At 55.5% G+C, this 12207-nt stretch overlaps 1 protein-coding gene across 5 annotated transcripts in view, besides 2 other annotated features; it reads left to right on the top strand.

The window, feature by feature from the left end:
- Nucleotides 1–12207, top strand: part of ACOT7 (acyl-CoA thioesterase 7) — a 129496-nt gene that overhangs the window by 101072 nt on the left and 16217 nt on the right. For all 5 annotated transcript variants that reach the window (NM_007274.4, NM_181864.3, XM_047443399.1 and 2 more), the window contains exon 8: nt 11410–11594. In NM_007274.4, the coding sequence (NP_009205.3) occupies nt 11410–11594 (185 nt within the window). The remainder of the gene's footprint in view (nt 1–11409; nt 11595–12207) is intronic.
- Nucleotides 1377–1436: an enhancer, noted in NCBI's record as "active region_76". NCBI's record gives its function as "activates an Ori minimal core promoter by ATAC-STARR-seq in GM12878 lymphoblastoid cells {active_cell/tissue: GM12878}" and the evidence as "EXISTENCE:reporter gene assay evidence [ECO:0000049][PMID:35858748]".
- Nucleotides 11521–12070: an enhancer, noted in NCBI's record as "H3K27ac-H3K4me1 hESC enhancer chr1:6340686-6341235 (GRCh37/hg19 assembly coordinates)". NCBI's record gives its function as "activates a minimal SCP1, AML or CMV promoter by ChIP-STARR-seq in naive and primed H9 embryonic stem cells {active_cell/tissue: H9 hESC(naive and primed)}" and the evidence as "EXISTENCE:reporter gene assay evidence [ECO:0000049][PMID:30033119]".

The following is a 12207-nucleotide window of genomic DNA, read 5'->3' as shown; positions in this document are numbered from 1 at the left end:
AAAAAAAAACACAAAAAAACAAAAAAAAAACAAAGTCCCCACCCTTAACTCCTTGTACAACCAGAATTAACTTTTAAGGGAGAGTGCTAGGAGGTGTGTTGTGGTTCTTGGTCAATAGGAATCATTAATTTTGAGGGAAAACCAGGAACTGCAGTCTGGGTCGAATGCTTTTTCCAGGAATTAACTTAGCAACCTAGAAGACATCTGGGGCAACTCGGACGAGGAGCTGCTTTGCCAAAGGCTTTCCACAAGGCTAACGGGGGGACTTAATTTTCAGAAGCCACAATTTCTGGCAGGACATTCACTTGGATTGGCTTCCTTCACGCAGTGAGGGCAGGTTGGGTGGGCTCGCCTGATTCCCGCTGTCCCAAGCCACACCCAGGGCCTGACAGTGGGCCGCCCAGGCCCCCACCTCGTCTCGGCTGTGGCCGGGGCCTCCTGGGTAAAACACTGGGCCCCTTACCAGAAACAGAAAGACTGTTGTTTTCTTAGATGACATCTTGTTTTGTGTATAGAGGAATTTGGACCAAACTGAAATAGCAGCCATGGAGTCTGGCCTGTTTCTATGCCAGTATCCTCCAGGGCCCACTAGACTCTGTCACATCCAGGGGCCGTTGAATGCTGTCACACTCGTGTGTTGTTTTCCAGAGGATTGTCACACCTGCCAGGTCCTTTGCAGGGAGGCGAGGGCTGTGCTGGCCGAGTGGGGCCAGGGTTGTCAGAGCAGGGTCATCATGCTTGCTCCTAGGATACTGCACCTTAGATCAGCTCGCTGCCTCCCACGCTTGCCCCTTGGTAGGGAAACAGAGCGAGGCTGTGCGGGGAGGCACGGCCCCTGCTGGCTCTGGGTTCTGGGTGACACTGGGTGGGTGTGTGAGAAACCGCGGGGGGCTGGCCTCACAGTTCCAGCGTGACTTTCTCATGGACTCTGCTGGGGCCGCTGTACACCCTCGAGCCCCACACCTGCCTCTCACTTCGACCATACCATGAAGGAGGTCTCGAGGGCCAGACCCTGCTGCCCTGCCGGGTGGGGGCACACATTATTGTGGACTATCCCAGTCGGTGTCAAGAGCCCAGGGAGCTACTGGCAGGCACAGAAACCTCACCTCGGGTTGCACGTGGTGCCTGGCAGAGCTTTGTACTGTAGAGAATGGGCATTGCTTTCTGGTGGGCTCAGAACAACAGACATCTGTTCGCCCCCAGTTCTAGAGGCCAGAATTCTGAAATCAAGGCGTCAGCAGGGCCAAGGTCCCTCTGAAGTCAGGGGAGGATCCGTCCCTGCCCCTTCCAGCTTCTGGGAGCAGCAGCTGTTCCTTGACGTTTCTTGGCTTGTGGCTGCGTCACTCTGGTCTGTCTCTGTGGTCACAAGGCCTCTTCCTCTGTGTGTCTCTCCTCTTCTGTCTCTTATAAGGACACTTGTCATAGGATTTAGGACACACCTGGAGAATCCGGGGTGATCTCATCTCAAGACCTTTTGCTTAATTATACCTGCTAAGACCTTTATTCCAATAAGGCCCCACTCTGAAGTTGTGAGTAGATGTATCATTTGGGAACCCACTAGAAATGCTTTGTCTCCTTAAAGCTCAACTCATGTAGATACTAGCTCACTTCCACTTTTATAAAATCATGAACTTGATAAAATCCCCTCTGGGATTCACCAGCCCCAAGCTGCCTCTGTCTCTGTGGATGTGGGACCTGCCCTTGTGAGAGCCAGCAGTGAAATTGACGTCAGCCTGGAGAAGGGGCCACTCTAAGGAATGCAGGGAGAGTGACCCCAGCAGTCCCCCAGGGGCCCCCCACTTTTGAGAAGAGCAGTCATACAGCTGGCAAGGGGCTAGCTCCGGACCCTGACTTCAGAGAGCAGCCTCACTAGAGCCAAATGAGAGTCTCTACAGTTAGCAGGCCTAGGGGCTACTGATGAAGGACCAGGGCCTTTCCTCTAAATGGCAGGGAGTCAGGGTCAGTGTCAGAAGTGAGAACGGATGTGACGTCTCCTCCATAAGCCCCAGAAGGCAGCGGTTTTGTAATAACAAGAAATAGTCGCATAGACCGAGGGTTGCAGTTCTTTGTGTTGGGGTGTTGTATTAGTATTAACCTTAAGTCAAGTATAAATTTAATCCACATAAGGATTACTTTTAAAATCATACGTTTATGGAAAAGGTGCCTGCAGGTAGACTGGGCACATCCAGGCGGTTGGAGCCTGAGGGCACAGCAGGGCCATGGCAGCCGGTCACAGCCCGTGCCCCTCATGTGAGCAGCCCTGAGAGGCCACTGGTCCCCCTGGGAGGAAACCCCCTACCTCCCACAGGCTGATCTGCCACAGTGGGGAAAAGCCCAGGAGTTGAGACCCGTTGCCAGTCATGTGGCCTCCATGAGTTTCCTGGGGCTGCTGTAACATTTCCATACACAGTAGCTTAAAATAGCCTGCACTCACTCTCCTGTAATTTTGGAGGTCAGAAGTCTAAGGCAGGTCTGCAGGCTGCATCCTACCAGGAGCTGGAGGGAAGAATCCATGTCTCGCCTTTCCCAGCGTCTGAGGCCACCCACATTCCTCGGCTCATGGTCCCGGCCATCCTCCAGCCTCTCCTAACAGCATCCCATTCCCCCCCTCGTGCTGACACTCCTGCCTCCCTCTCACAGGACCCCTGTGATTCTATCAGGCCCACCCGGGTACCCCAGAACAATCTTCCCATCTCCAGGGCTGTCACTTAGTCAATGTCTGCAGAGTCCCCTTTGCCACGTGAGGTCACAGGTTCAGTGGATTTGGGTGTGGGCATCTTTTGGGAGCACATTATTCTGTCTTAGCAGGTGGAAGGGGGTTTTCTGATGTGCCCATTTCAGCATATTTTATTAGAAAAATAGCTGGGCCTGGGCACGATGGCTCAAGCCTGTAGTTTTGGCTACTTAGGATGCTAAAGTAGGAGGATTGCTTAAGCCAGGGGTTCGAGACCAGCCTGGGCAACACAGTGAGACCCCTGTTTCTTTAAAAACAAAACAAAACAAAACACACACAAAAAAAGCAGGCTGGTCACAGTGGCTCACGCTTGTAATTCCAACACTTTGTGAGGCTGAGGCAGGAAGATCACTTGAGCCCTGGAGTTTGAGACCAGCCTGGGCAACATGGTGAGGCCCCATCTCTACAAAAATTTAAAAATTATCTGGGCTACTCAGGAAGCTAAGGGAGGAGGATCACATGAGCCCAGGAGGCAGAGGCTGCAGTGTGAGCCGTGATTGTGCCGCCGCACTCAGCCTGGGTGACAGAGTGAGACCTTGTCTCAATTTAAAAAACAAAAACAGGCTGGGCGTGGTGGCTCACTCCTGTAATCCCAGCACTTTGGGAGGCCGAGGCAGTCTGATCACCTGAGGTCAGGAGTTCGAGACCAGCCTGGCCAACATGGTGAAACCCCGTCTCTACTAAAAATACAAAAATTAGCCGGGCGTGGGGGCAGGCGCCTGTAATCCCAGCTACTCGGGGGGCTGAGGTAGGAGAATCGCTTGAACCTGAGAGGCAGATGTTGCAGTGAGCCGAGATCGTGTCACTGCACTCCAGCCGGGGCGACAGAGCGAGACTCCGTCTCAAAAAAAAATAAAATAAAATAACCAGAAAACAGTGGGAATGCGGAATGGAGACGCCAGACCTGTGGGGTGGCTTCTCCAGATTTAAGGCAGGAAGTGCTTTGCTTTCTCTCCTTCAGCCTCCCGTAAAACTGCCTCCTTGGGAGAGTGACCTTTTATGCGATATTGACCAAGTGCCAGGCCCTGTGGCTGTGGCTTGCCCTCGCTTGGGTGGGGTGTCTGTCAGGAAGTTACACGGACAGCTTTGCTTCATCCAGACATTGGCCCAGGGGTTCAGAAGATAACTTTGAGTTTCAGCCACGAAGGGTGTGTGCCTAGGAGGAACTTACGAACTTGGGGCACTTGTCGTGGCTGGGAGAGGCCTCACCCGCGGCCATGGAGGCCACTGCCACCCTGCCGTGGGCCCAGCTCTGTTGGCTGCAAATTTGGCATTTATGAACCAGACTCTTCCAGGATGCCCCACACTTGCCTAGACCACAGAGGGCCACCTCTGTTACCCTCACCCCTCACCAGCCCAACCCAGTGCCACCTCCATTGTCACAGCCTTTTGACGCTAGGGACCTGCTATTCCTCTGCTCACAGCCTCCGTGGCTCCCCGTGACATGCCACATTCAGCTTGAGCCCCTCCAGCTGGCACTTCAGGTCTGCTAGGACAGGCTGCCACTTGTCATAGCTGTCCCCTTACACCTTTGCGCCAACTAGCCCGGCCAAGCACCTACGGGGTCCTTAGCAGGTGTGTGGCAAGTTAAACTCTCACCAGGCAGTTGGGGTGAAGGAAGGACCGCTTCATCTGTGCGACTGGATCTCATGGGAAATGGGAAGTGCCCACCCACCAAAGGCGCGTGGAGTTCCCAGGCCAGCAACGGAGTTGGTGCTGGGGACGCGAGGGCCACGACAGGCTGGAGCCCGCACCCAGGGGACCAGCACAGGGGAAGGCACGTGGAGCCCGGTAGCACCCACAGAGTGGGAGAGCCTCCGCCCCCCAGGCAAGCAGTGGAGCCCCTAATGGGAGCTGTGGGGTCACTTGCTGTGTGGATTTTTTTTTTTCAGTTGAGACATTAAAATGTCCAGAGGTAGCTGGTGTGAAAAAGTTATATCGTTGCCTTCAGTGTAATAGTTTTGGAAGCACTTGGTGAGAAAACCTAAAGTTGACGTTTTCTTGGGGAGAAACGATCTCCACTATTAGGGTGAAAAATAAGGAGTCTTCTAGAAAAGGCCTTGGGGTGTGTTATGTAAGAAATACTAAGTCAGTTCACTGTTTCCAGGCTTTTCTTACGAAAGTTAACAGCCACAGCTCTTTTTGGAGCATAAATGCTGAGCTTTTCCTAAACTCTGAAACACTTGGCAACCTCTCAGTCTTGCTAACAGCTATTTTTTTTTTATTTTGTTTTCTTTTCCAAATCCCTGGCATACTGCTGAAATCTGGCTGCTGCCGCCCCTGGAGAGACGCCCGTCTGCTGGGGGAGTCAGGCTGGGGTACCTGCCAGCGCTCACGGGCTGTGCCACTCCAGGCAGGCTCAACAACTACTTCAAAACAGAAAGCGGCTGTAATTCACAATTCAGCCCACTACAGGCACCGATACGTTTAACTGTACCTAATATGACACACTTGATGCCAGGCATTGTGCCACCTGCTTCATACCATTTACTTCTCACACAGCCCAGTGAGACAGGGACTGTCGCTATCTCTGTTTGTTTTTCCCATTTGGAAGCTGCAATTCCGAGGGGTTAAGGAAGCTGTTCACAGCCATGGAGCTGGTTCCAGGTGGGACTGGGAGGGCAGGCCCAGCAGCTGGTCTCTGGGACCAGAGCTCTGAGCCCATGCTTTGGTGTCCCCAGCGACCTGGCCTAAACCCCACCTGGCATCCGCCCCGTCAGGGCCTCGAGTGTGAGTGATGAAGCTTGACCCTCATTGATTACATGCGGCTACAGCCACCTTTGAGGCCTGCCCTGGACTGCGGAGTGACTGCACCTGGTCCCCGTGCACTTGTGCCGGAACTCCTGGCTCTCAGGCAGCTTGAAAATGCATCGTTAAGCTGGGCGCGGTGGCTCATGCCTGTTATCCCAGCACTTTGGGAGGCCGAGGCAGGCAGATCACGAGGTCAGGAGATCGAGACCATCCTGGCTAACATGCTGAAACCCCATCTCTACTAAAAATACAAAAAATTAGCTTCTTGTTACTTTGTGGTATGATTCCTTTTACCCCCTGCAAGCCTCTCCAGCGGTGCCCCTGGGGCACACTCAGGCCCCACCCCAAATTACTGTCCTGGGCCTGTCATGTGACATAATGAATGCGGGCAGTTGACATCAGTATAGCCTCAGAGCAAGGATAGAACCACATGGGTTGACTGTGTCTCCTTTAAAAATGTGGAGGAAGTTACCCCCAAAATGCCCAGGTGGCCTGTGGAGCCCCTGATGAAGGAGAGCCACTGTGAGTGGGTCGTGGCTGGGTCTGCTGCTCCCCTGCATTCTCTGAAGCTGGGTGCATGGGGAAAGCATTTGCAGATGAGGAAACTGAGGCACAGTGCAGTCTCCTGGCTTGTCCCTGCTCAGTGGCCAAGCCTGGATTTAAATCCAGGCCCATCTGACTCCAAAGCCATGGAACTCAGGGCTCCTCCCGCATGGCTTCGTAGCCTCCGGAGACTGGCCTTGACAGGTATTTGCTCCAGGGCCTCGAAGAGCCCTGCCTTTCCTGATGAGACACTTTGTCATGAATATCTGGCTTCATCAGGGCCCTGGCTGCTGTACCTGCTACAGAGGCTCAGAGAGGACCAGGCGCTCCCCTTCTGGCCGCCTTCCCCAGAACTAAACAAGCATCCACACCTCTCCTAGGTGGGCACTGATCCGCCCGCTCAGTGGGAGATGCTGTTCTTGGTTAATCCATTTTTCACCTCAAGCTGGTCCCACCCATCTTTTAAATAAACCCCAGCCACCTTGACTGCAGGTGCATTTGGACGGGTGATGTGGTGGAGCCATCCCAAGGCAGCACCTCCGCTCGTGGGCTGATTGTCAGGACCAAGAGGTCTTTTTGACCCCACAGAGCCCTCCGAGTCTTGGCTGCCTTGTTATGGCAGGTACTGGCACTGCTTGGGGTTGTGTTTGCTTTGGTTTCTGAGACAGGTGCGTGGAAGTGGATTTGAGGCTCTCTCCCCTTCCTCGGATGGGCCCCGCAATGTCCCAACTTTGCCTAGTGCCAGGTTCGCCACAGGATACAGACAGACACTACTGGTATACAAGGCAGGTGCGGACCCCCCTTCCTGCCCTTCTCATGCCTGGCGGGAGGGCTGAATCAAGGCAGACTTTGTGGGAAGGAGGCCTGAGCTCCCCTCATTGCTGGGAGACCCTGAAGCATCCTGACCTCCGTGTGACACGCCAGGTCTGCAGGCAGTGCTTGTCGGGCCCTGCCTCTGCCTTTCCTGTCAGGTTCAGGGCTCCCGAGAGCCACCTGGACACGCTGTCTTCAGCTCTCTGATGCATGACCAGCCTCACCCGCCTCCACATTTGGTGGAGGGACCTGTGGGCATGGTCATGATTTGGCCGGCAGCCTGGATGGTCCAGGCTCTGACCCAGTGGGAGGAATGACAGCACATGGCTGCGCCATGGAGGAATTAGCAGGAAGGGCGGAATCAGTCTGTGCTGCCCCGTGGGCAGGTGACGGCCAGCACGTGACTGCCCCCAGGCTCTCCACCCTTTTGCAGGGAGGAAGGGAGGTGGACAGGTGTGGGGCTCCAGGGCAGGCTGCTTCCAGGAGTGGCACTGAAGTTGAGACTGGAAGGAAGTACCGGCCAGCAGGGCTTGGAAGGGGCTGCTGGCCATGCTCCTGGGCACTCCTGATTCTGGGCTGCTCAGCATCCACTTCAGGAGGATGCAAACCTGGGGCTCTAATGGGGCTCTGGCCAGCTTGAGTCTGTGGTGACCTGGTGTCCACATGTGACCCACACCCCAGCCCTCGTGGGTCCCCAGAGGGGTCCAGCCTGTCAACTGGATACCTGCTTTGGGCCCCCTGGGCCCAGCCCTGCCCTCGTGGGACTTCCAGGCTAGATGGGGACAGACAGACAACAGTGAAATAGACAAGCCAACAAGTGTGCCAATGCAAATGGGGTCGTTGGCTCTGCAGGAGTGGAGGACAGTTCTAGAGGGGGTGTGGTGGAGGGGGCTGAGCCGCCCTGGGCAGCTCTCTGGAGAAGGGATGCTTGAGCCGAGGTTCAGAAGATGAACCAGATAGCTGTAAGAGGAGGGCTTTTCTAGGGAGAGACCACGGGGGCCAGGAGCTTCAGGGAGCTCACAGAAGGCCACTCTGGTGGGGTGTGGAAAGCAGGGGGCAGGCTAGGGGCCCTTGTAGAGGCTGAGGCCAGTCGCTCATCACCCCAACCCCACCTGGATGGACCTCCGTCCCCAGGGAGGCCTCGATGCTGCAGGGGGGCCTCTATGTGACCTGGAGGAGGCGGAGAGGATTTGGTGTGCGCCTCAGCCGCCATCCTGGGGTTGACAAAGTGCCTGTAGCTGGAATGCTGGAATTCTTTTTTTTTTTTTTTTTTTTTTTGAGATGGAGTTTCGCTCTTGTTGCCCAGGCTGGAGTGCAATGGCATGATCTCAGCTCACTGCAACCTGCGCCTCCCGGGTTCAGGCGATTCTGTTGCCTCAGCCTCCCAAGTAGCTGGGATTACAGGCATGTGCCACCATGCCCGGCTAATTTTGTATTTTTAATAGAGACAGGGTTTCACCATGTTGGTCAGGCTGGTCTCAAATTCCTGACCTCAAGTGATGAGCCCGCCTCGGCCTCCCAGAGTGCTGGGATTACAGGTATGAGCCACTGCGCCCGGTCTGTAGCTGGAATTCTTCAGGAAGGGCTAGAGCAGGAACAGAGCCCTGGGGGTGGGAGCTGGTCCCCCCGAGGTCCCCTGGGACAGTCCCTTCCCAGAGGCTGCCTGTGAGACCTTGGTGTCATGTGTGGGATGTGCCTTCTGAGCCCAGGGTCTAGGAGATGGGATACCCTAAACCAGGGCCCCTGGAAACTGGGCTCTCTCTTGGTGACTGGGACTTGTGATTCGTCTGTCAACCCTAGGTTTCAAATTAAGTCCCAGCCAGTGACCACATCAGATTTCCAGTTTTTTTCTTTTTTTCTGAGACAGGGTCTTGCTCTGTCACCCAGGCTAGAGTGCAGTGGTGCGATCTCAGCTGACTGCAACCTCGACCTCCTGGGCTCAAACGATGCTCCCGCCTGAGCCTCCCGAGTAGCTGGGACCACAGGCGTGTGCCACTATATCCAGTTAGGTTTCCAGTTTTAAAGTATTTCACTTTGTCCTGCTAGCCAACCTTATAGCCTGTGTCTTGTTTAGAATAATGATGTTGCTCTCTGAAGGGTGAAAATTCTCAGATTTTGGTTGTAATTGAAAATTTTCCTGACATTTATGAAGTGTTAATTGTATTATGGACCACAAGAGGCTCTCCCAGACAGCATTCTCTTCTTTTTGTTGTTACGTCTAATGCTTTTATAATCAACCTACTTAGTTGTTTAAAGTCATTGTTGATTGCTGTTAGGAGTTTCTTCAGATTTCTAACACAGCAATTAAGCCATGAGCAGCCAGGATCTGGCCGTGGCAGCAGTGGCCAAGGTGGGCCTTCATGGGCAACACCAAGAGCATGTTTTTGGAGCCTGGGCGGAGTGGCTCACACCTAATTATAATCCCAGCAATTTGGGAGGCCGAGGCAGTTGGATCACTTGAGGCCAGGAGTTCTAGACCAGCCTGGTCAACAAGACAAAACCTCATCTCTACAAAAGATACAAAAATCAGCCGTGCATGGTGGTGCACGCCTGTAATCCCAGCTATTTAAGTGACAGGTGTGACAGTCGCTTAAACCTGGGAGACAGAGGTTGCAGTGAGCCATGATGGCACCACTGCCCTCCAGCCTGGGCAATAGAGCGAGACTCCATCTCAAAAACAAAAACACGTTTTCTGTTGCTCCTCAAAACTAAGAGCCAGTGTTCAAAGACCCCTGGAACCTGCCCTCCTCCAGGCACCACGCTCATGGGTGGCCCCCGTGTGTGACACCGTGGCCACAGGGAAGTTCTTGTTGGTTTCTGCTCATGGAAAGGGCTTGTTCCTGCTTTTTGGCCTGTGACTCCCAAGTGTTATACACAATTGTTGGTGAGGGATGTGGGCTGGGCATTGTGAGGAAGGAGGCAGAGATGCTGGGAGACCCTCAGGTCTGACCTGTTGAAACTTCTAGCTCCTTAGCTGGGGCCTGACCCATGGCCTGCCCTCCTCCCGGGGTGCGTCTTGTGACTGCGGGCGCTTTGCATGGGACTCTGTACCTTACAGCTCACGTAATGCCTGCTGGCGCTGACCACACAGCTCCTTCCTCCTCTCCCAGCACTGGCACGAAGTGCTCCCTGTAAGTATGAAGTTGAATGTAGCATGGATCGTTCTGATACTTTTTAACATGGAATAACCGCTCTTGCCTCTGGCCTGCTAACCGCCCTCCAACAGCCACCACCTGGCCGCTTTCTCACTCTGGGTCTCTAAACCTGCCTTGTGAGGCTGGTCTCGGTGCAGCTAGGACACTGGGGGTTCCAGAGGCCACATTAAAAAGTCCCCGAAGCCAGATATATTTCCTGGGGAGCAAGTCCCAGCAGCCAGAGTCGGGCAGGGATATCCTTGAGCCTGGCCCAGAATAGAGGCCACGCTGGGCCGCCTGGGAGGGCATTCTGACCGCAGGGCAGCACTTGCCCCGGAAGTCCCCGGGGGTTTCTGCAGCCTGGTGGCCAGTGACATCGATGGTGACACCTTCCCGGGGCCCCAGGTCAGCTCTTGGCTTGAGTCCTTCCATCCCGTAGCTATCCCCCAGGCAGGGTGTCTCATGCCTGCCTATAGGGAAGAGCTGAGCTCCCTGAGATTAAGGGATTATGTTGAGGCCAGGTAGGAGGATGGAGCCCAGGCCGGGGAGGGTGGTGGGGGCAGAAGAGCAGCTCTGGGTCAGGAAGCTTCTGCCAGGATGGACTGTCGTGCCCTGGGGAGCGTGGGGCGTACAGAGAGGTTGGTTAGGGTTGAGGGGGAGAGAGGGACATGGGAACAATGTATGGGAACTGGTGACTTTGGACTTTGTCATGATTCACAGAGAAATGGGGCTGGTGCTTTGAGCATGGAGGACTCTGGCCAAGGGGTGTGGCATCCAGCAGCCCAGAGGAGGAAGCTTTGGTCCCGTGGGCGAGACCAGTGGGGCCAGAAGGGAGGCTTGGCATGCAGTCACATAAGATTCAATCCCACCAAGGGGCACGGGCAGCTGCCCTGTGTCACTGGAGCCCCTGAGGGTGGGAATGGCTGTGGAAGGTGATACAAGGTTCTGTCTTGGTGCTTGGAGCAGTGTAGTGGGGCAGCTGTGGCTCCGGTGGGCACCAGCAAGGCCAATGAATGGACAGTGCAGTTTGCAGATTTGGCCCTGACCTAAGGAAGGGCAGAGCCAGCCGACACCCACAGCTCCTGGAAGGCAGTCTGCGGCCTCCCCCGTGGGGGCACAGTGGCTCTGAAGCCTTTCAGCAGGTGCTGCCACTCCCGGCCAGGAGAGAGCCCGCCTGGGCGGGGGCTTGAACTCATGGCCACCAAAATCCTTCAGTGCTGAATTTTAGCGTAGATAAACCTGCTCACTAGAAAGATAAACATTCATGGGCAACTAACGACACATTCTAATATTCTGTTATTTGAACATCTGGTAGTCAGCCAAGCCACTGCTTCCCCTAACCAAGTGTCTGCCTGCTGACCACAGAAACGCCAGTGTCCCCCGCCCAGCCGTGGGGTGGAGGCCGCCCTGACCCCCGCCCTCCCTTCTCCACAGGCTGCGTCATCACCATCTCGGGACGCATGACCTTCACGAGCAATAAGTCCATGGAGATCGAGGTGTTGGTGGACGCCGACCCTGTTGTGGACAGCTCTCAGAAGCGCTACCGGGCCGCCAGTGCCTTCTTCACCTACGTGTCGCTGAGCCAGGAAGGCAGGTCGCTGCCTGTGCCCCAGCTGGTGGTGAGTGCGCATCCTTGGAACGGCGGCCCCTCCCTGCCAGGCAGCCCTAGGGTCCCTGTGTTTGGGCCTCCAGGGGGAATCTGTGCCTGCATGAGTCCTGTCCTGTCAGTAGGGGTCAGAGTAGGGCTGGGCCTGGCCACTGCCGTGACCGGTGACCTCGGGCTGCGGGGCTGATCCGGTGAGGCCTTGAGAAGGAACGCTTCATAACCAGCGGGTAGGCCTTTGGGCTGTACTCCCAGGGCCCGTGGGGTGGGGCTGGGCAGACAGGACAAGAGAGACAGACCCCTTTAAGAGCGCCTTAGCATGGCTGCTGCCTGGGCGTCCAGGTCGCCTCTGAGTGTGGCGCCTTGGTGTTCCCTGGCATTGTGTAAGAATGCTGGAGGGGGATGAGGACCGTGCCCTGGGTCCCCCATCCTCTGCTGAAGGGCCTGCTGGGAAGCTGGAGGGGTGGGCTCCCTCCAGGTGGTCCTGGCCTGCAGGTCCTGCCTGATGAGACCAAGCCAGGCTGGTGGGCTCTGGGCTGAGGGTCCCAGCCCCTTGGCCTTTCTCCTCCTCATGCAGGGCAGGTGGGGTGGGCGTGTGCAGGCCACACGCACTCGTTCACAGGGGCTGC

This window comes from Homo sapiens, chromosome 1 (genome assembly GCF_000001405.40).
Source record: "Homo sapiens chromosome 1, GRCh38.p14 Primary Assembly".
Taxonomy (NCBI): domain Eukaryota; kingdom Metazoa; phylum Chordata; class Mammalia; order Primates; family Hominidae; genus Homo; species Homo sapiens.
The sequence above is the reverse complement of the archived record's forward strand: the minus strand, read 5'-3'. Positions and strand labels throughout refer to the sequence as shown.